The following is a 22,683-nucleotide window of genomic DNA, read 5'->3' as shown; positions in this document are numbered from 1 at the left end:
GAATAAGGGCACTGGGTGGCACAGACTGTAGCATGTGCTTTAAGACAGCAGGGGTTTTGAGAGGAGGAAGAGGAGAAATACCCTGGAAGAGATAGTATGAAGCAAAGAGGACACAGGCCTTGTTGTAAGCATTTAAAGTGCATTGGATTGACAAGAAGCAACAGGTATTTCAGAGAAGAGATTGGAAATGAAGAATTTCACTGACGACAGAACTTTGCAAAAGGCTGAGTGTAAGAGCAGGAGGTGACACAGCAAGGTAGGAGATTGAGTTAGAACACCAACACACCAAGATATATGGAGATAAGAATTTAAAGATAAGATGGAAGACCTAGATATCCTGGACTGCTGGGGGCACCTAGACATTCTCTGTCTGTAGGAACATGAAGTCAACTATATCCTCCTAAAGCAGGAACCACTCCAGCTCTTTTCTGTGTTCCCTACACACTCATATTAGACAGGGGGTTGGTGATGGGGATGACTGAATGAACTAAGGAGTGAATGCATGACTCACAAAAGGTAGAGGAAGATTGGTGCTGTGGGAGGAGTGGAGGGAGACATTCATTTGGAAAATCAGATGGCAGGAGCCTTTTTATTGAGTAGTAGAAGAGCAAAGCAGAAGGACCAGAATCTGGAGTCAAAAGACATGGTTGAGTTCTCATTCTGCAACTTCCTAGCTGCAGGTCTTTGGGAAAATGACTCCTTTATACATAACTCTGACCTCATCTATAAAGTAAACCTTTCCTCCTTAGGAGATTGAGCTTCAAACTGTCACCTCTTTGAGGCTCCTGTCCCTTTACTACAACACTAATTTCATCCCACTTGGAAATTGTGTAGAGCTGTACAAGTAAAAGGGTGGACAATAAACAGGAGAAATATAGTAGGTTCCACATACTCTAACGCCCAGCCCTTGGCCTATGTGCCAACACTCACTCCCAACTCCTTGAAAAGCTACTATTAAAAGAGTTTCCCTTTGGTTTAGAAAGATGTTTCTTATAATGCATAGCACATTAAAATAATAACAACTAACACCACAGAGAGGAGTGTGGAACACCCAGTGAGAGTAATACAGATAAGGAGCCAGGGTCTAAAACAAGACACATAGGGTTACCTTGGGATGTGATACAACAAGGAACATCATAACCTCCTGCTTAGGTAGCTGGGCAGAATCAAGGCTGCCACAGAGCCTGATGGAGTAGGAGGAACAATGCCCAGCCATTCCCACACATGCTCAGGAGCAGGGCAGCTATGTACATGTTGGAGAGATGCTGTTTGTCTTTGACTCGCCCGTGTTCTGAGTGAGCCCTTTGACCCAGTTTTAGAAGCAGACTGAGCCACGGTGAGCAGAGGCGGGGCTTAGGGAGGCAGGAGTCTTGGGGCTTTATAAAGTCCTGCCGGGCACCACTGGGCATCTCTTTCAAGGTTTCTGCTGGGTTTCTGAACTGCTGGGTTTCTGCTTGCTCCTCTGGAGATGCAGCGTCTGTTGACTCCAGTGAAGCGCATTCTGCAACTGACAAGAGCGGTGCAGGAAACCTCCCTCACACCTGCTCGCCTGCTCCCAGTAGCCCACCAAAGGTGAGTCACTTTCTGAGAAGCACCTTGTAACTAGTAAAAGATAGTTTTTCCCTGCTATTGGGGAAAACTCACTAGAATCCCACTCAAAATTTGGCAAGGCTTGTGCACAGCAGCCTTAGACAAGCAAGTTAACTTTAAAGGGTCTCAGTTACCTCATCTCTAAACAGACAATCCCTTTCAGCTGTAGAGTGAGAAGAGCCCAAACCTCTGACACATGCTGTGTTTGTGAGCAATGGCAACTTTTACTCTGCCAGCTGCATGAAGCAGTAGAAATATCAGTACCAGGCCACAGCTTTCCTCTCTACACCACCATTCCCACCTTCACCCCTAGCCTCTGCCTAGAACCACAGGACCTTGTGCCAACTGCAGTGTTAGTAAAACCAGTGACTTTATATCACTGCAGCAGAATCAGAAATGGACTGAGGATGAGAAGCTGTGTTTGCCTTGTGTTCCAATTTTATGAAAAGGGGAAATGTGTGTTTATGTGTGTATGTGTACATGCTCTTTGCAAGAAGAACATGCACACTCCTTTTCTTTGTAAATAGTCCCTGAACATGGCTCAAGTGCTTATGTTTTCCATTGTCAGCGATGATGGTAACACAGCTATCGTTAGTGCCTCAGGCTCCCAGCCACCTATGTGTTTCTGTCTAATCCCCAAACCATCCACTACACATTGGGACTAGTTCTTTATTTCCTTACATTTTTACTCTATATTCTATGACTACTAAATATTTAGAAAAATGATTTTGACCTAGTGTCTTTCCTTGCCAAATACCCAAGGAACCTGGGTGTATAGATGTGCATGGTAGAGGCAAATGCACATAGCTTTCTTATATTTTTCATTATGCTACCATCATCTCACTCTCCCCATGCACTGCCAAACCCTGCATGTGGGTTAAATGTCCCAGCTCAGGATTTAACCTGTTTCTATATTTGTGAAGAAGAGATTGATGTGGGTTTCTTGTTTTAATAGCAATAGTTGGCCATCAGCCAAAAGACATACATCAATCCTCCCCAACATTCTGACTCCCTTGGTTCAAACTCTTGGAATCATTCCCATTTCCCTTCTGGTATATTCACAGTTAATCCCATTATGCATGGCTTGAACTAATATTGCTTTTCATGAGTCACCTTTTCTCTATATGTCTAATCGCCTTTAATCCAACCCACATTGGCTCTAACTCCAACCTAAAAGAGACTTTCATCTCAGCATCTGCTTTGCTGTCTTCAAAATTCGGTAAGACTTGTGCCCTCCACTTACTGTATTTCTCACATATTGTCTCCCTGCTCCCCTATACACCTGCATCTCCAGGGTTCCTTACTTGTTCAGTCACCCCCTGCCGTGGCCACTGCCCCTTCATTCCCCTCCAGTTCTTCACTGGCAGAAGTCTGTCATCCATCAAGGTTTGCCTCAAATGCGGTCTCTTCCACGAAGCTTCTCTGATCCTCCAACCCACTGAAATCTCTGCTTCCTTTGAACTCCTGTAGATTTTGCTCACATTCCTTTTTGTGGGCCTGACCACATTCTGCCTTGAAGTTGGGTTATATGTGTGCTTATCATTCCTCACACTGGTCAAGGAGGTCTCAAGAACCTCACCCTCTTCTTTTCTTTGTCCAACCCCTTTGTTCAACCCTCACAAACCCTTCCCAGCACAGTGCCTGAAGTGTAGTAATTAATTTTGAAACACAAGGGAAGGAGGCAAGATGGAATACAGAAGTAAAGGTGTGGTGCATGTTCTTGAAGTGGGCAACACCAGGAGAAAAATGATTTAAAATTACACAAAGTGATCATTCTTTAGAGAAAGCACAAGATGAGAAGGATACTCTTAACTTCGGTGGGCTGAAGCTTCTGGAAGCCTCTCCGTGTTAATTTTCTTCAAGGCTTTATAATCCATTTCTAGAAATAGCTCCCCACCAAGACAGCTACAAAAGTTACCAACTGACCCATTCTAAGCTTCTTCTTGCAAGCTTTGATTTCTAACTGGGAAGAAAGGGAGGGAGCCAGCCCAGAGAAGTCAGAGCGAGAATGAGGCTGAGAGAAAGGCAGCCAAGCTGGCAGGACAAGCGCTGGCTTAACCATTAGCTCCCGGGTACTGGGGAAGCTCCTCCGTAAATATTTGAGAGTACAAACTCCAGTTATTTGGAGGGAGTCAAATAAATAGGGAAGATAAATAAACTCCAAACCTCTCCTGTCAGATATAATGTGTATTTATCATTCTGCCTCACTATCTTGTGATCATATGATCCACTTTTGCCTCACAGCTGTCCTTAGAAGTGACCTTGCTGCTGGGAGAGGCTCTAGAATTCTACCAGAGGCTCAGAATCCCAAAGATGATTGATAGACACATTCAATCTGAGTTCCAGCTCCCGTAGAATGGAGCTAAATTTATAAGCCTGGCACCCAGGGCAGTGAAGGGACAGAGTATTTCTAACACGTGAGAAACTATGAAGTTACCCTGAGTGCATCACTTTACCAGTGTGTGCCTTGGTTTCACTAACTATAAAATGAAGAATGTTGCTAAAGTGAACAGAAGGTATAAAGTACTTTTGTATGGGAGCAGTACAGAGATCACCAAGTTCACCTCCAGTATGCTCCCATACAAAAGGGAACACAGATTTTCGCCAGGGATATTAAGAATCTGGGTTAAAGAGAAGTGAATTGGTCCAGAAAAGAAATAGATCATCTCTCCCTTCTTCTGCTGACTCCTTCCCCTTCCTTTTTTCCTCTGCTCTCGTTTAGAATTGCTCTTTCTGCTGTCTGTGTTCCCTGCATATTTAGCTGTAAAATGTCTGCTTCTTTCACTGGGCTGTGCTCTCTTTATGGGCACAATGCATGTCTTATTCACTGCTGTGTATTTGGACTAGAACTGTGTTGGGTGTGCTCAATAAACATTGGAAGGCCCTATCAGAAAAATCAGCTAGCAGAAAACTTACTTAAAAGTAGGAAAACAGTGGGTATGTTCTTGTGTAGAAAAAAGAAAGGAGAAAGACATGTAATTAGAGGTACACTTTTAAAATGAGTAAAGATTGTATAATTATGCCCTATAAGGGCTTATAACATGTAGAAGTAAAGTATATGACAATAATGGTTCAAAAGGATGCAGAGAGTAAATAAAGTCAACCTAAAGTTTTTGCAGTGTTCCAAAAGTAAGATAAGTATTAATTTAAGTAAGATTACAACAAGCCAATTATGCATGTTATAATCTTTAAGGTCACCAGTAAAAGGAAAAGAGGGTATAAAATGAATAATAAATATTTGCTTACTCTAAAAGGATATGGGAAAGGAGGAATAAAAGAACAAAGAACAAATGAGACAAATAGAAACAAATAAAAAAATAGACTTAGTTCCGGCTGGGCGTGGTGGCTCACGCCTGTAATCCCAGCACTTTGGAAGACCGAGATCAGGAGATCGAGACCATCCTGGCTAACACGGTGAAACCCTGTCTCTACTAAAAATACAAAAAATTAGCTGGGCGTGGTGGCAGGTGCCTGTAGTCCCAGCTACTCAGGAGGCTGAGGCAGGAGAATGGTGTGAACCCAGGAGGCGGAGCTTGCAGTGAGCAGAGATCACGCCACTGCACTCCAGCTTGGGTGACAGAGTGAGACTCCGGGTGACAGAGTGAGACTCCGTCTCAAAAAAGAGAAAAAAAAAGATTTAGTTCCAACTATATTAGTAATTACAACAAATATAAATGGATGAAATACTCAAATTAAAACACCACTATTGTTAGACTTATTAAAATTTTTTTAAAGGACTAAAATATATATACCGATCACAAGAGATGTATGTTAAAGATAAAGACGTTAAGAAGTTGAAAGTAAAAAGGGACAGAAAAAGATGTACCATGGAAACAGTAAGCAAAAAGCTAGTGTAGCTATATCGACGTCAGGAAAGGAAACTTTATGCCAAGAATATCACAAAGATGAAAAGGGATATTTAATAAGTATAGAAGGGTCAATTCAATGAAAAGATAATAACAATACTAAATTTGTAGTCATCTGATAACATAGCTTCAAAATATAGAAAATTAATTAAATGATTGCTATGTTACTGTCTTTTGAGGAAATTGTCTACAGACCATTAGTGGGAGTTTGACTGTTATCTCCATCACAGGTTTTCTACAGCCTCTGCTGTCCCCCTGGCCAAAACAGATACTTGGCCAAAGGACGTGGGCATCCTGGCCCTGGAGGTCTACTTCCCAGCCCAATATGTGGACCAAACTGACCTGGAGAAGTATAACAATGTGGAAGCAGGAAAGTATACAGTGGGCTTGGGCCAGACCCGTATGGGCTTCTGCTCAGTCCAAGAGGACATCAACTCCCTGTGCCTGACGGTGGTGCAACGGCTGATGGAGCGCATACAGCTCCCATGGGACTCTGTGGGCAGGCTGGAAGTAGGCACTGAGACCATCATTGACAAGTCCAAAGCTGTCAAAACAGTGCTCATGGAACTCTTCCAGGATTCAGGCAATACTGATATTGAGGGCATAGATACCACCAATGCCTGCTACGGTGGTACTGCCTCCCTCTTCAATGCTGCCAACTGGATGGAGTCCAGTTCCTGGGATGGTATGTACGGCCACGAACCTTATGTAAGAAAGGTGCTGGAATTGGAGGCTGAATATTACCAGTTTTGCTTTTCAGTTCCCCAGGTGGCTTCATCTAGTGAAGGAAGGACAATATATTCACACAGCTGCTGCTATCATCCCACAATAACCACTTAGACTTATATAGCTTTACAGTTAGGTAGCATGTTCACATAGCCATTCATTTAATTCTTACAACAGCCTAGGAAGTGTGTATTATACCAGATTTATAGAAGAGAACATGGAAGATCTGATAGCTTACACATAGTGAGTGGCAGAGGCAAAAATGCCAAACCACATCTGACATATTTCCTATTTTACCGTACCTGTTTCTCTTAAACATGTCCTAAGTCTCTGAGAGATTGGTGATGTTGAAAGATGTATGCAAGTTTAGATGTTCGGGAAAAAAACACCTTCATAGAAACAGGCCCAGAAAACCACAAGATAGACTGTGAGTATTTCTACTCTTTCTCCCTTAGGTGGCTCCTTGCATATTGCTTTTTGCTTAACATATTAACATTACCTTGTATCTTACTTATATCTTCTCCCAGTGCTATATTTGAGGACTAACCCCTGTTGTTACAGCAAGAAATGATTCAAGGGAAACAGTACAGTATGAGAGCTTGAAGCCATAGCTCTATCAATAATCATTGATAAATTCCTGAACCTCTTTGAGCCTCAGGGTTATTTGCCTATCTGCCTTGCTTAACTTATAAGAGGACTGAATAAAATAATTCATAGAAATGTGAAATTTTCATAAAGATGTGAAAAAACAGTATGTTGGCAGTAGTTAAGACACTCTATATTTACTAAGTTTGAAACTAGGATTAAAAACCTTAGAAACCATGATAAGCATTAATTATAAAATTAATCAAAAAGCCTTAATATTGGCAGAGTCCTCAGAGATCATCTAATTCAATATCTTTTGCTTTAGAAAAAAGAGGTCAAGAGGAGTGTAACAGTTTATCTCTGTACATGCAGCAAGACCGTGCAATTACAAAAGTTCATTCCAGGCTTTTCCAACTGCCCTACCTGGCTCCATCATTAACAATTCCACTGACATGGGATGGTCCAGTCTACATCATCAAGTCTGTTCTTAAAGTGCCTCTCCTACTTGATACTTGTATTACTACCTCTCTAGTAACCCCTACCACCATTACCACCACTGATATGTCCAACCAATTATTTAGTTGAGGAGTAGAAATGAAAAATAAGGGGCATTCACCAGCCTTTAACCAAAAATCAAAGAGCCTATTCTTGAGAGCATTGTCAGCCTTAAGCATGCCATTTCAAATGCGTAGATTCTTCTGAGGGGCTGGGTATTCCACAGATGGGGTTGCAAATGCATCTTTTAAAAAAATGTGGTATCTAGGTATAAAAGTAAAAATTTAAAAAACAAGTTATTGAAATGTGAATCTTTAGTTTGTATTTAAAACAAAAACAGCTAAGCTTGAGCCTGGACACTCGGACTACATACCCTGCAGGTGACAGTAACCACCAGGACCAGAGGATGCCAGTGTGAATGAGAACTCTGCTTCTGACCTAGCCAGTCATTCATCTGGGGACCCTCAGGTGGGAGGGAGTGGCTCTGAGACTCAGGGAGTTCTGAATCACTCCAGAGAAAAGTGGAGGGGATGAGGAAAGAGAAGAGTATTTCTGGCTCAGATTGGCTGGGAGTCCCCATGTTTTCTTGTGTTTTTTTTTTTAAATGAAAATAATTAAAATTTATATTTGGAAAAAAACATACACATACACAAAAGTATATAAAGCAAAGAAAGACTCCTCATTTGACCTGTTACCACTTCCCAAAATTTAACACTGATGGTTTATATGTATTCTTCCAATATTTTTTCTAAGTACCTGCAAGTATACACATATCTATTCCATTTTAAACATTGTACAAAATATTCCTCATCTCTTAGGTCTTAGAGGTAATTCTGTATCAACATATGTAAGGTCTATCTGATTCTTTTTAAAACCACAATATTCTTGATGGATATGCCAAATTTTATTTAATTAATCCCATATTGATGGATATTTAGTTTTTTAGCAATGATAAATAAAGTTTTAATGAACATTGTACAATAGCTTTGTATACTTTTGGCATTGTATTGTAAGAATAAATTCCTAGAAGTGGAATATCAGGATAGGTTGATTTAAAAGTTTGATAAAATGTGCCAAATTCTTCTCCAAAATGTTGTACTAACTTACATTCCTACAATGTATATATTATCAAACTTTCTAATCTTTGTCAATTTAACAAGTAAAATTATAATGTTTTTGATTTGCGTTTCTTTTACTATAAGAAATCTTGAATATTTCTATGTTGTTTATTGGCCTTTTTTTATTATATAGCTTGCCTTTTTTTATTTTTTATTTATTTATTTTTTTAGACAGAGTCTCGATCTGTTGCCAGGCTGGAGTGCAGTGGCGGTGATCTCAGCTCACTGCAACCTCTGCCTCCCAGGTTCAAGCGATTCTTCTGTCTCAGCCTCCCGAGTAGCTGGGACTACAGGACCCCACCACCACACCCGGCTCATTTTTTGTATTTTTAGTAGAGATGGGATTTCACCGTGTTAGCCAGGATAGTCTTGATCTCCTGACCTCACAATCCTCCTGCCTCGGCCTCCCCAATCGCTGGGATTACAGGCGTGAGCCACCGTGCCCGGCCTAGCTTGCCTTTTTAATGAAACTTTTATAAATGAAGATAAATTGATTTTTGTTGATTGTAAGTATTGTAAATACTCCCCCAATTTGTCTTTTGACTTTGTTTCTGATAGAAGGCTTTGATTTTTAGATAATCAAATTTACTGGCCTTTTCCTAAATGGATTCTAAATACTTTTCTATAGTTTCTAAAGTTTTCAAAATGTGTGCGTGTGTGTGCTTATATACAGGTAGAAAAAAGTATTGTTTTCCCTTAATTTTATGTATATAAAAATTATATATACTTAAATATATATTTATATATATTAAATATACCAATTTACTTATACTAATATATTTATATATACTAAATATATACTTACATTTATATATTTATATAAATTATTTGTATATTTATATATATACACACACACACATGCACATAGCATTGGGGAAGAAAACAATACTTTTTCGTTGATGTTGGAGTTGGGATTGTTATAATTCTTAAGAGAAGGTCCCTGGATTTCAGTGAATTTGGGTTGGAGTCCTGACTCTGAATCCTTACCCTACCATTTATTAGCTATGTGGTTTTTGGGCAAGTGGCTTAAATTCTTTAGCCCTCAGTTTCTTCATCTGTAGGATGGGGATAACTATATCTGCTACATAGATTTATCATGAGGATTAAATTATATAGAAATGTGGCTCCCAAAGCAGTGCTGTGGGTGAATACTGGGAGCTTCCTCACAGGTCAGAATACTAAAATTACTACCATATCTCACCCACAAACTTGAGTTTTTGGGACAGTACTTCTTACAGATGAAAGTGGAACACATAATAGTCAAGACCACAATTATTTATTGAATACTAGTCTGATTATCATAAAGTTAGTGACTACGGATCATTTACTCAATATAAACTATTTTCACAATGAAAGTAGTGCCACACAATTCAAGGCACGTGGTTCAGGATCCAGTCAGAACTGGGTTTGAATATCAAAATCCATATTAACTAGCTATGTGACCTTACACTAGTTACTCAGTCTCTCAGGAAGGCAATGTCTTCACTTGTGAATGTGGATGTTACCTACCTCATTGGATTGTTTCAAGAATTGTTTAAGGTTAACTAGTGTCCTACTAGTGTTTTAAATGTTAGTTTCCCTCCCTGTCCTTTACCTTCTATGATTTAGGATATAATTTCAGGATCATGGTGTGCTATAAGGAGATGGGTACAAACCCAAACCTGAATTGTCTCCAAAAGTGCGAATTAACACATTTTTCACTGAAGTCAGAGACAGAATTCTGAATAAATGAGCGTTTTACAGAGTGTCAGGACACTAAATTTTGACTTTACATTTCAAATGTATCATGAATTGCACTAGAACATAAGCTCCACAGGACTGGGATTTTTTATTTTGTTTATCACTCTATATCCAGGACCTAGAATTGTGCCTGGTACACAGTAGGCACTCAGTCTACTCTAGATTTGGTAATGATGGTAAATATTTCTTGTTTCTCTTTACAGGTCGTTATGCCATGGTGGTCTGTGGAGACATTGCCGTCTATCCCAGTGGTAATGCTCGTCCCACAGGTGGGGCCGGAGCTGTGGCTATGCTGATTGGGCCCAAGGCCCCTCTGGCCCTGGAGCGAGGTTTGTAGTAATCCATTACCAAGAGGCTGTGCATGGCATAGCCAAGAACATAGATCCTAATCCCACATTGGCACACCTGCTACTCAGGGCTGAGGTATGCGTTTGAGGATGGTATTGCTTGCCTCTAAAAAGGGCTGGTCTATGGAGCAGAGGGAGGAGAGGAGAAATGGGAGAGGGGAATCCGCGAGGCTTCCTCTCTTGCATCATCAGGCATTGGGATAACGATGCATGGAATGAGTGGTGCAGATGATGGTGAGGAATCTTAGGGAACTCTTCTGGCAATTGAAGATTAAAATATATAACTGGATATAAAGTGAAAGTCTTTCCTTTGAGACTGTTGGCTTCTATTCTAGGTTTTGTTAAGCCCATGTAGGTGAGGAAAGGGAAATATACATCTCATTTTTGTAATACCAACAACCTGTCCAACTCCTTTTGAATATGCAAGGGATGTTGAATGGGCTTGAACTTGGGCATGGGACACAGATAATGACCAGAAACCTCCTTTATATGGTTCTCTCATCTTTTGTGCTCAAGGTAGGCTGCATTGTGTAGTCTCTGAAACACTTTGTGTGCCTTTCCAGGGCTGAGGGGAACCCATATGGAGAATGTGTATGACTTCTACAAACCAAATTTGGCCTCGGAGTACCCAATAGTGGATGGGAAGCTTTCCATCCAGTGCTACTTGCGGGCCTTGGATCGATGTTACACATCATACCGTAAAAAAATCCAGAATCAGTGGAAGCAAGGTATGAGATTCAGAGGGCAGAAAGTGGGGGCTCTATTTACATAGGCCAAGGGTTTGTACCCAAAGGCCATGAGATGGTCTTTTCTCTCCTGCCTTGAAAATAATGTCAAGAGAATTGTTTCCTGTCCTCTTTCTTACACTCTTCCCTGGGTCTATGCTAAAATCCATTTGGAAGTCATTCAACTTCAGGTGTAAAATTGCTTCTAACTTGAGCTAAATAAAAGAAAGTAAATAATCCAGGGCAAGGCCCCCAGTGTGAAACCAAGGGATGTCAGCCACCTGAGAAGATGGTGTTAAGAGGCTGGGCAGTCACATTCGACAGTGGTTGGCATTTGTTTCTGGTTAAGTCAGGCATGGTTTGGCTCTTGGTTTGTGGTTTACCATCTTTTAAAGTCTCACGTTGAGAAATCATACCTATATTTTCTATATGCTGAAGTGTTATCAGTGATTTTTCTCTTCGTGATGCTACTGCAGGTTGATTTTATTTTCACCTTTAGTTTTGGAATTTCCCTCCTGAGAAATATGTACTGCTTTCATAAGCAGAAAATAAGCAAATAAATCTTCCTTTTAAAATACAGAAAAGCAGGGAGTGGTGGCTCACGCCTGTAATCCCAGCACCTTGGGAAGCTGAGGCAGGAGGATTGCTTGAACCCAGGAATTTGAGACCAATGTGGGCAACAAAGCAAGACCCTGTCTCTAAAAAAAAAAAGTACAAAAGTTAGCCAGGCATGGTGGCATAAGCCTGTAGTCCCAGCTACTCAGAAGGCTGAGATGGGGGAAATTGCTTGAGACCAGGAGCCCATGCAGTAAGCTATGATCAAGCAACTGCCTCCAGCCTGGACTACAGAGTGAAACAAACCCTGTCTCTAAAAACATATAAATAAATAAAAATAAAATACAGTTAAACCTACTTTAAAGACATAAATAGTATTCTTGCCTGCTCAGGCATGCCCAGATGGGCATCCGCAAAAGACAGATTGCAGTGTGGGAGAAGGCATGGATGCCTTGGGGGTGTCATAAAGAGCTACCTCTTGTCCCTTTCTACTGCAGTGGGTGGGACACCACCTGCCAGAGGTGAACCTCATGGGCAAGAAGTTGCTTTGGGCCTCTCTGCCTCAGTCTGTCTTCTGTAATTGGTTATTTGCTCCTAACTCCTCTGAATTCTTGTGGCATTTAAATTTTACTCCTTATTTGCATATGTAAGGTGACAGATGCTGCTTTGGATCCCAGCACTAAAATGTAATATTTCCTAAGGGCAGAGATTGCATTGCCCTCTTCTTCAGAGTGAGAGAGACAGTCTGTAGAGTAGAGTCAGAGACATCTGAACCTGAATCCAAAGCCAGCCTTTTCAAAGTTGGACAGATGACAATGTTTTGTAGACCGGTTCCTCCTCTGGCAAATGAAGAAAATTATATAACACAAGGTTGATTTGAGCCAAGTATCATAGAGGCTGGTAATAGTAGATACAAAGGCTTTGTTTCTTTCCCTTCTTTCCTTATTCGTAGAGATTGCTTAGTAAGTGCATGTAAAATGAATAAATAAAGCTCATATGTGTTTGCAGGAGGTGGGAAGTAGTTCCCTGGGAGGCCTGGAGAAACTCGGCACAGTTAAATCTCAGGGAGGATATCTAAATGGCTCGCCCCTCATGCCCCATCCTTGCCTTCACGCTTCCTCTTCCAGCTGGCAGCGATCGACCCTTCACCCTTGACGATTTACAGTACATGATCTTTCATACACCCTTTTGCAAGATGGTCCAGAAGTCTCTGGCTCGCCTGATGTTCAATGACTTCCTGTCAGCCAGCAGTGACACACAAACCAGCTTATATAAGGGGCTGGAGGCTTTCGGGTGAGTTCTCTTCTTGGGGAGCCTAGAGGCTGGTGAGGTGTGAGCAAGAAGGAGGCTTCTTCATGCCTTAAGTCTAGACCACCAGCACCCCTGTGGGGGACAAATGGCAATCCTCCAGCAGAACAGGAACAATCCCAGGTCCTTCCACGGGGTAGTGGGTTATTGTCTGGGTAGGGCCCTCCATGAGTTATTGCAGGGAAACATGGGGGATTTGGCAGCACTGCAGGATCAAGGGGCAGTAAGAAACTACAGAGGATAAAGAAAGAAAGAGAGAAAGGGAGAAAGAGAGGAAGGGAGAAAGAGAGTAGCTAAATCATTCAGTCAATAAACATTTTCTGAACATGTTATGTGCTAGACATCGTATTAACCTCTCAGGATACTAAAATGAATGTGACTCCATGGTCCCTGCCCTAGAGCATCTCACAGCCTATACAGACACAAACACACAGAAGCAAATGATCACACTACAGGGTAGCAATTTGAGAAGTGTCAGGTCCCATTCTCATTTGCCATTGTCTTAATTCATGTCCTGCTTTTGCTTTTCTCCCATCTATAAAATGGGGATGTTCCAGCTCATCCCCTTAGATGTGAAAAAGCAGAAAGAATGCTGTTTATTGATTCACTACACTAATACACTAATATTTACAAAGAAATGTCTTCAATACAGTTTCCACTGGGAAAGGAATCTTTCCCTTTCTTCTTGGTACCTGTTTATTTCAAATTTTGGTCAATTTTATCAACAGTAGAATAGGCTACCAAGTGTAGCCCCTGTTACTAACTAGTACTCCTAACCCTGCCACTAACTAAAACATCAAAATTAGCACAAACACTGCTTGTAAGACCAGCCCTATCGAAACAAAAAGTATAACATATACCAAAGATACTAGCTTAATATCTTTAATATATAAAGATATTATCAATAATAAAATAAATACCCTAATAGAAAAATGAGCAAAGGATATGAACAGAAAATTTTCTCAAAGAAGACATGTATATGATCACATTTTAAATATGCATATTCATTAATAAAAAGTTTACTCAAGTTACCATTTTCTCTAGATAGTCTTTTTAAAATGTGAATACCCAGAATTGTCAAGCCTGTGGGAAAATGGGCAGTAGTGGATGCGTAAATGGATCAGGTGTTTTGAGGAGTAACAGGAGAGCATGAAGCCAAAGCCTTAAAGATGTGCAAACTTTGGGCTCAGTAATCCCATGTGTTTAAAAGAACACCTACCTATTCGCTGTAGTGTTTTAACTAGTGAGGAACAGGAGCAGGAAGATGGGTTAAAGTGCGGTACATCCTGTCATGGACCATTCTTCAGCCTTTACAAATAATGTTATAGAATGTCATGGAAAAAAAATATATATATATATACACACACACACTAAGTTAAGAAAGTATGCTAACCACAACACATAGCATGATTTTCTTTCTAATTTTCTAGTAAGCTCTATAAAATTAGGGATGGATTCCACCAGAAAAATAAGCCCTAAGTACTCTCTCTGAATGGTAAGGCCATTAGTGGTATGTTCTCCTCTGTACTGTTCTGTATTTCCAAATATTGTAGGAAAAACATGCGCCCCAAAGTCCTCTCCAGAAGCTGTTACTTTTCCCCCTTGCTCCCTGCCTCCCGTCCCCTGGCCTCTCACATGGCTACCTCTGGCTACCTCACAGGGGGCTAAAGCTGGAAGACACCTACACCAACAAGGACCTGGATAAAGCACTTCTAAAGGCCTCTCAGGACATGTTCGACAAGAAAACCAAGGCTTCCCTTTACCTCTCCACTCACAATGGGAACATGTACACCTCATCCCTGTACGGGTGCCTGGCCTCGCTTCTGTCCCAGTGAGTACTGCATCTGGCTCCATGTCCTCCATGCACACCCTCAGCCTCCGCCCCCGTGGGCTGCAGGGTCAACAAAGTTGGGTTTCTCTTTTGGCTCAGAAATTTAAAAGAAAGGAAGGGGCCTGGTGTAGTGGCTCATGCCTGTAATCTCAGCATTTGGGGAGGTTTAGGCGGGCAGATCGCCTGAACCTAGGAGTTCGAGACCCGCCTGGGCAACGTGGTGAAACCTCATCTCTACAAAAATTAGCTGAGCATGGTTGTGTGCACGTGTGGTCCCAGCTGCTCGGGAGGCTGAAGTGGGAGGATGGTGTGAGCCCAGGAGTGGAAGGTTGCAGTGAGCCATGATTGTGTCATTGGACTCCAACCTGGATGACAGAATGAGATCCTGTCATAAATAAATAAATAAATATAAAAGAAAGGAAAGGAGGGAGAAGGCAGGAAAAGGAAGGAAGATGAAAGAAACTCGTACCAAAGGTGTATGTATAGGCAGATTTACAGTCTGTATCAGACAGTGGTCTCCAAAGTGAAGTACATGATGTCAAGGGATGGGCAAGATCTGTTTGGGCACATCAAGAAAACAGTAGCTTTGGTATGCATATTTTTGTCTCATTTATTTAAAATCTCTATACTTAGTAGAGCATGGTGGTTAAATGGGTCTGACTTTAGAGCCCACAACCTGGGTTCAAATTTTTTTAACCAATTATTAGGGTTGACTTTGGATAATACTTAACCTCAATGCACCTCACCTTCCCCAACTGTAGCATGTGTGCAATCACAATACCTGTGTTCTACTGTTTTTATGAGCATTAAGTATCTAAAACAATTAAAATAGCAGTGCTTAGCAGGTGCTCAAATGTTGGATGTTATTTCTATTCATTTTCTGTTTTGTGGGTTTTATAAGGAAGTACTGCATCTAACATAAGAAAGGGCTCATGAAGTGGCTCATGCCTATAATCCTAGCACTTTGGAAGGCTCAGGCAGGAGGATCTCTTGAGCTCAGGAGTTTGAGACCAGCCTTGGGAACAGAGGGAGGCCCCATCTCTACAAAATTTTTTTAAACAATTAGCCATGGATGTTCACGGTGGCTCATGCCTGTAATACCAACACTTTGGGAGGCCAAGGTGGGAAGATCACCTGAGGTCAGGAGTTTGAGAACAGCCTGGCCAACATGGCAAAACCCCTTCTCTACTAAAAATACAAACATCAGCTGGGCATGGTGGTACGTGCCTGTAGTCCCAGCAACTCGAGAGGCTGAGGCATGAGAATTGCTTGAACCCGGGAGGCAGAAGTTGCAGTGAGCTGAGATCGAGCTACTGCACTATAGCTTGGGTGACAGAGTGAGACTCTGTCTCAAAAAAAAAAAAAAAATTAGCTGGGTGTGGCAGCTTGCACCTGTAGTCCCAGCTACTCAGGATCCTGAATCCTGAGGTGGGAGGATCACTTGAGCCCAGGAGGTAAAGGCTGCAGTGAGCCATGATCACGCCACTGCATTCCGGGCACTCCAGGCTGGGCAACAGAGCAAGACTCTGCCAAAAAAAGAAAAAAAAAACGGGCAGGAAAAAGTGCTTATGGGTGAACTTGATCAAATTATTACTCACAGGGGATGATCAAAAAGTTATGACTGCTGAACCATTACCAATCAACATGGGAGCCTGAAGGGTGAGTCCAGTGGTCTGATCTCCATCTGGAGACACCTTCAGAATGCACTGAATTTACCCTGTCCTCATGAGAGGGGAGAAGCTCTATGTACACCAAAAATTATCTTGTGTTTTCTCTGCCTTATATATCTTGGATATTAGCTGCTTTCCTTTTGGCAAGGTTTCCTACACAAAGGCCTGTCCCTGGGGTCTACCAGAAGTCCCTCTTTATGTAGGGTGCCTGGAACCCATTTCTAGTTGCATGAGGTAGACAGGGAGAAGATCGGGATGATAGGCTGTTGTTCTATTTGAAGTGCAGAATATAATATATATATACATATATGTGTGTGTGTGTGTGTGTGTGTGTGTGTGTGTGTGTTTTATTTGATTTCTTTCCCCACAGCCACTCTGCCCAAGAACTGGCTGGCTCCAGGATTGGTGCCTTCTCTTATGGCTCTGGTTTAGCAGCAAGTTTCTTTTCATTTCGAGTATCCCAGGATGCTGCTCCAGGTGAGTGTCATCTTTCTAGTAGGCCTTCCTGACAAGATTCATCTGGTAGAATAACCATCTTCTTCCCCACCATTACTGAGGCTGCCATCTTGACAGAGTTACGTTATTATTAATAGCAAAGTAAATCACTGAAGGGATTTAAGCATGGAGTAAGTTTGTTTAATTTATGTGTTTAAAGCACTTATTTGGCTACTACTTAGAGACTAGATTGAAAAGGAACAAAGCTGGATATGGGGAAACCACTTAGATTGTTCCAGTAACTAGTTCAGGCAAGAGGTAATGGTGGTTTGATTGCAACTGATTAAAGAGAAGTTGATGGATTTGAGATACCTAATAAGAATTTATTGATTATTTTGTGATTGATGTGATTAAGGACATGCATTTAAGTACTATGTGGCATACACCTTGACCAAATCAGTGTGTCTGCCTGCATGTTTTGCTAACAAGTATGCTTGCTTATCATTTCTTGGTATTCTAAGCCACACACACCACACGTTCCTCCAGGGTGTAACCTCCCACAGAACCTGGCTCTCTGTTGAACTCGTGATTGGCAATAGTGATAATGACAATGAAAAAGGTGTAACAATCTTGCTTTTGCTTCCCAGGCTCTCCCCTGGACAAGTTGGTGTCCAGCACATCAGACCTGCCAAAACGCCTAGCCTCCCGAAAGTGTGTGTCTCCTGAGGAGTTCACAGAAATAATGAACCAAAGAGAGCAATTCTACCATAAGGGTAAGAAAAAAGTCAGGAAGAGAGGAAGAGAGACCCCATTCCAGTAGCTGGGAGCCAGGGATTTCTTTGGAAATCTAGAATTTAGTAGTCCAGGGTCAAGACTTTTACGAGATATGGTTGGGAGAAGATTTGCTAGAAGATCTGTTGTCCAAAGGGGCAAGAAGTGGGTGGGGAAACAGAAGATAGAGTTGGGAAGAGGGAGGCAGGATGCAGCTTCCCAGTATAGAATATAGCTAAACACCCAGAATGTGTAGTCCCATGGAAGCCAGAAGTATAGTCTTTGAAAATACCATCTGCAACAGTTGAAAGAGTACAGACTTTAGAGCTAGATATCCAAATCTAACCCTGAGCTGTGCCACTCACTAGCTGTTTATCTTTGGAAAAATGGTTGAACTTTTCTCAGTTGTCTTATTTCTAAAATCATACCGATTTTGCAGGATTTCCAAACAAATTAAATGAATTACTCTATATAAATATGTTATCGACAAATATTACTGTCCCCTCCAAATTGCCCTCTTTCTCCACCAAACATAAAAACAAAAAACAAAATATTGCTCCAAAAGCAACAAATGAAAGGAAAATGAAACCCAAAGGTAATACTAGAGTGATTAGTTGGTGGTTTTAAAACCATAGTAATACACAGTTTTACCATGATTTCTACAGGTTTTATATATATTCTCAAGCAAAACTTGGGATGCATGTTGTTTTGCAGCATGGTCTCAAAAGGAGACAGAATATACGGAATTGGAAATGTTCCAGAAAACCTAGACCTAGTGGTCATTGATCTCTTCTGGACCAGTGGATATGTTATAGCAAAGAAAGACAATGAAAATAAAAATGGAGCAGGGCACAGTGGCTCACGCCTGTAATGCTAGTCCTTTGGGAGGCAGAGGCAGGTGGATCACTTGAGGCCAGGAGTTTGAGACCAGCCTGGCCAACATGGTGAAAACCCATCTCTACTAAAAATATAAAAATTATAAAAATATGAATATAATAAAAAAAATAAAATTATGTAAAAATTAGCCGAGTGTGGTGGCACACACCTCTAATCTCAGCTACTCAGGAGGCTGAGGAGAATTACTTGAACCCAGGAGGCAGAGGATGCAGTGAACTGAGATCACACCACCACACTCTAGCCTGGGTGACACAGAAAGACTCTGTCTCAAAACAAAAAAAAAAAAAAGAAGAAAAGAAAAATAGGACCTCTGAGACAAACGTTAACGGACAAAGCACTGAAATACTGCAATGAATCAGAACCAGAAAATTTAGAGTTTAGAAGGACGTGTCTGTTAGGAAACAGGAAGCTGGGAATTACGTCTCAAAGTAGGAACTATTGGCAAAAGGATGGGATGAAGATTTCAATGGAGGAAGGCTATGTTTACTGTAGGAAAATGTTGTACTCTTATAATAAAAGTCTTAATAGACTTTTATTAAGGCCTTAAGTGCTAGATTCAAGATGGCTGCCCCTCTTGTTCTGTGGGTCCAGTGTTCTATTTGGTGGACTAAGGGTGACCTTGCAGCCCCTTACAGCCCAGCCAAGAGAGCTTCACTGTGAAGGGGCAGACATCTTCATTACTATTTTCTCTTCCAAAAACTCATATAACTCTTTGTGAGTACTGCCTCTTCTCCTCATTCCACAGTGAATTTCTCCCCACCTGGTGACACAAACAGCCTTTTCCCAGGTACTTGGTACCTGGAGCGAGTGGACGAGCAGCATCGCCGAAAGTATGCCCGGCGTCCCGTCTAAAGGTGGTGAGTGAGAGTTTGCAGAGTTGGTGGCATAAAACCCTAATGTCTTCCTCTGAGTAACAACACAGAGAGAGAAGGTGGGGACAGGTGCAGGGAGAAGAAAGTTTAATGGAAGAGGATTGGGGTGACAGGAGAAATGGGAGAATTATCTGTGGAATTTTTAAAAGGAAAAGCAAGTATTCAGAATAGGAATCTTGTAGTTTGGGAACATTAACCAGGCCAGGGAGGGTTCACAGCTTTCAAACTAATCAGAAGTGGGGATTTGTACCATAAAGACCAATTAAAACTCTTGGGGCTCTTTGCCTTGGAAAGGCAAAAGCTGGGGGAGAAACATGTTCTGAAATCTTGAATGTGAAAAATAGGAGCTGGATTTGTTTACCTGATCTGCTGAAGATAGGAAGCTCTCCTAGAAGCTTGACAGATTAGCATTCAGAGCATCCGTTGAGTGAACAGGCTGTGAACCTGAACCTATAGAAATCATTACTCCAGGGGGATGAGATCAACAGATCTGATGAGCAACAGAACAACCAAGATGAACAGCCCCAAAACCTCAGAAATGGTACACACCAATGTGTGGGAGACAGATTCATAAGGAATGGGGCGGTTGAAGATTCTGTTAAAGCCAGATACTTCTGCTGGAGGGAGTTTTAGGCTAAGGGTCATGTAACAATTCTTATATCATGGGATTCCTTCTGGGGAGAAGCAATGAGGTTCAGGAAATTCGTGGACACAAGGATAGGGAGAAGAGAGCAAGGTGAAAGAGGATTGCGGTGACAGGAGAAATGGGAGATATTCTTTATGATCGTTTTTAAAGGAAAGCAAACATTCAAAAATAAGAATCTTATATGAACCCAGGTAGCTGCCTTCAGTTGACCAAATAGGTAGGATAAGCAGAATGATAGAGTGAGAAGAGATTTATTTTACAACCCATAAATTTTAATTAGTGCAGTCTCCATGCTCAAGTTTTTAAGATTTTCCCCTCCTTTTGGTAGATGGAGAGGGAAGAAGAAAAAGGTGTGCCGAGGCAGGGAAGGAGCAGAGGAAGGGAAGGAAGAAGTCAGTGGGTGGCAGAGATGCACAGATACAGCCACCTGAGAGGAAGCAGAGGTGCGGGTGGAGGGGCCCTGGGTTCATTCCTTACCGCTGGGATATTGGCAGGTGCTAGGCTGTTGCAGCCCAGATGTTGTTAGGGCTAGGAGAGGTGGACAAGTGGGCTGAGGGCCGCAGGATGCCTTTGAGAGGACGAGCTCAGTTAGCAGCCCTGAAGACTGTGGTACTGCCCGGGAGCCTGTGTGCATGTTGGAAATACGGTTCTTAAGGGCAGGTCAGTAGCAAAGAGGGGCTGTTAAATGTGTCAACTTAGTTCATTCATCAGAAGAAGAGTGGGAGAAATAGGGAGGGAGGGGGGAAAGGGAGAGAGAGAGGTTGGGGAGAGAGTCAGCGGGAGGGGGAGAGAGAAAGAGAAATTTGGAATTTTTAAAGGAGAATTTCCACGTCAGCCTCCCTCCCTCTCATGGTAGACAAGCTTCTTGCAAGTGCTTAGGCAGAATTATACCTGAAAAAAAAAGCTGGAACTCTTGACCTTTTCTCATGTTGATTATTAATATGAGCAGTGAACTTCCAACAATGAGATTTTAGCAGAAATGAAGGGCTGCTGTCAGTGCAGTGCTCATGGTGGAGCTCTACAGGTCTCTGCAGCGCCCTAGCCTGCCTCTCCTGCTCTCCTATCACAGGCAGATGTGCGACGGGGACCCTGCCTACCCCCAGCCTTGGCTCCAGTAGCATTGGGCACAGATCCCTCAGGTGTCCAGGCTTGGCACAGGGTGCATAGTGGGAGCACCCTCAGGATGCAGTTAGGGGAGCCCCTCTGCACAGCCACACCTCGGGCAAGAAGCAGGTACTGGGGGCAGGGTGCCCAAGAGGAGACCCATGATTGAATGACTTTTTGTTTATTTAAGTTCTGCAGATCCATGGAAAGCTTCCTGGGAAACGTATGCTAGCAGAGCTTCTCCCCGTGAATCATATTTTTAAGATCCCACTCTTAGCTGGTAAATGAATTTGAATCGACATAGTAGCCCCATAAGCATCAGCCCTGTAGAGTGAGGAGCCATCTCTAGCGGGCCCTTCATTCCTCTCCATGCTGCAATCACTGTCCTGGGCTTATGGTGCTATGGACTAGGGGTCCTTTGTGAAAGAGCAAGATGGAGCAATGGAGAGAAGACCTCTTCCTGAATCACTGGACTCCAGAAATGTGCATGCAGATCAGCTGTTGCCTTCAAGATCCAGATAAACTTTCCTGTCATGTGTTAGAACTTTATTATTATTAATATTGTTAAACTTCTGTGCTGTTCCTGTGAATCTCCAAATTTTGTACCTTGTTCTAAGCTAATATATAGCAATTAAAAAGAGAGAAAGAGGAAATGATTCCTGCGTTTCTTGGAACCCAGAATACAAACCCAGCCTAACATGCAGCAAGCCTGCTAGACCTTGTGGGTCAGAGGGCTGGGTCCTTGCCTCACAGGCTGCCTCTGTCCCCTTGCAATTCCATTCTATTTCTGCCACATGCCAAGTGCTATGACAGGTACAAGGCAAATAAGAACGGTAGAACACAGCTTCCCCCAGCCCACTTCCCTGTTCTAAAGACACCACATAGACAGAGAGCAGCAGACAGGGGCCAGCAGGAGCTGTAGTTCAGATCTTCTTGGTCATTCCTTGCCGCTGTTATTTGAACAAATAAACACAGCGCAAAGGTTAACAAGTTTTTGCCTTCTATAGCCAAAAATAAAAAAATAAATAAATTTTGATGCCTGGCAGGAAATTATTCCATTACAGGATCTTTCCCCCTTGGGGGAGGGCACTGCTTCTTCTAGGGTCCTCTTATAAAATAGCAATGGTTCAGGCAGATGGGGATTGAGCTGAGGACGGGAGTGGGAGGAGAGGGAAAGTATCAGGGTGTTGTCATCACTTCCTTTTAGAAAGTTTCCTCAGTCACCCCCATGAGGAAAGGGCACCTTGGAAAAGAGAGAGGATGCTTTCCATTGGCGGGGAGCAGAGCTGGTGGGGGCAGGGGAGGAGGAGGGGAGGAGGAGGAGGAGGAGAAGCAGGGGAGGCTTAAGGCTCCCTTAAGCCTCAGGGAGCGCTTAAGAATGGCCCCACAGGAATGAGAAGCT

The 22,683-nt window shown here is 42.3% G+C and overlaps 1 protein-coding gene across 2 annotated transcripts, besides 1 other annotated feature; it reads left to right on the top strand.

Annotated features, from left to right (window-relative positions):
* Positions 1,381-22,317, top strand: HMGCS2 (3-hydroxy-3-methylglutaryl-CoA synthase 2). 2 transcript variants are annotated; one of them, NM_005518.4, is made up of 10 exons: positions 1,408-1,572; positions 5,687-6,141; positions 10,324-10,449; positions 11,031-11,195; positions 12,875-13,040; positions 14,716-14,886; positions 16,927-17,033; positions 17,639-17,764; positions 19,405-19,516; positions 21,472-22,311. In NM_005518.4, the coding sequence occupies exons 1-9, from the start codon at positions 1,469-1,471 to the stop codon at positions 19,509-19,511; spliced, it is 1,527 nt and encodes a 508-aa protein (NP_005509.1). In that variant the 5' UTR covers positions 1,408-1,468; the 3' UTR covers positions 19,512-19,516; positions 21,472-22,311. The 2 variants fall into 2 exon arrangements, with proteins under 2 accessions (NP_001159579.1, NP_005509.1); NM_001166107.1 differs by lacking the exon at positions 10,324-10,449 and having other exon boundaries at positions 1,381-1,572; positions 21,472-22,317.
* Positions 1,533-1,827: a silencer, noted in NCBI's record as "tiled region #1341; HepG2 Repressive non-DNase unmatched - State 4:PromP, and K562 Repressive non-DNase unmatched - State 22:ReprW". NCBI's record gives its function as "represses a minimal TATA promoter and a strong SV40 promoter by Sharpr-MPRA in HepG2 and K562 cells {active_cell/tissue: HepG2 | K562}" and the evidence as "EXISTENCE:reporter gene assay evidence [ECO:0000049][PMID:27701403]".

This window comes from Homo sapiens, chromosome 1, assembly GCF_000001405.40.
Source record: "Homo sapiens chromosome 1, GRCh38.p14 Primary Assembly".
NCBI lineage: Eukaryota > Metazoa > Chordata > Mammalia > Primates > Hominidae > Homo > Homo sapiens.
This window is presented reverse-complemented; position numbering and strand designations above follow the sequence as displayed.

Excerpts from the sequence above, each read along its gene's own strand:
- HMGCS2 (NM_005518.4), top strand. The coding sequence starts at position 1,469 with ATGCAGCGTCTGTTGACTCCAGTGAAGCGCATTCTGCAACTGACAAGA. Across the intron at positions 11,196-12,874 it reads CCAGAATCAGTGGAAGCAAG|CTGGCAGCGATCGACCCTTC; the intron begins GTATGAGATTCA and ends TTCCTCTTCCAG. Across the intron at positions 14,887-16,926 it reads CTGGCCTCGCTTCTGTCCCA|CCACTCTGCCCAAGAACTGG; the intron begins GTGAGTACTGCA and ends CTTTCCCCACAG.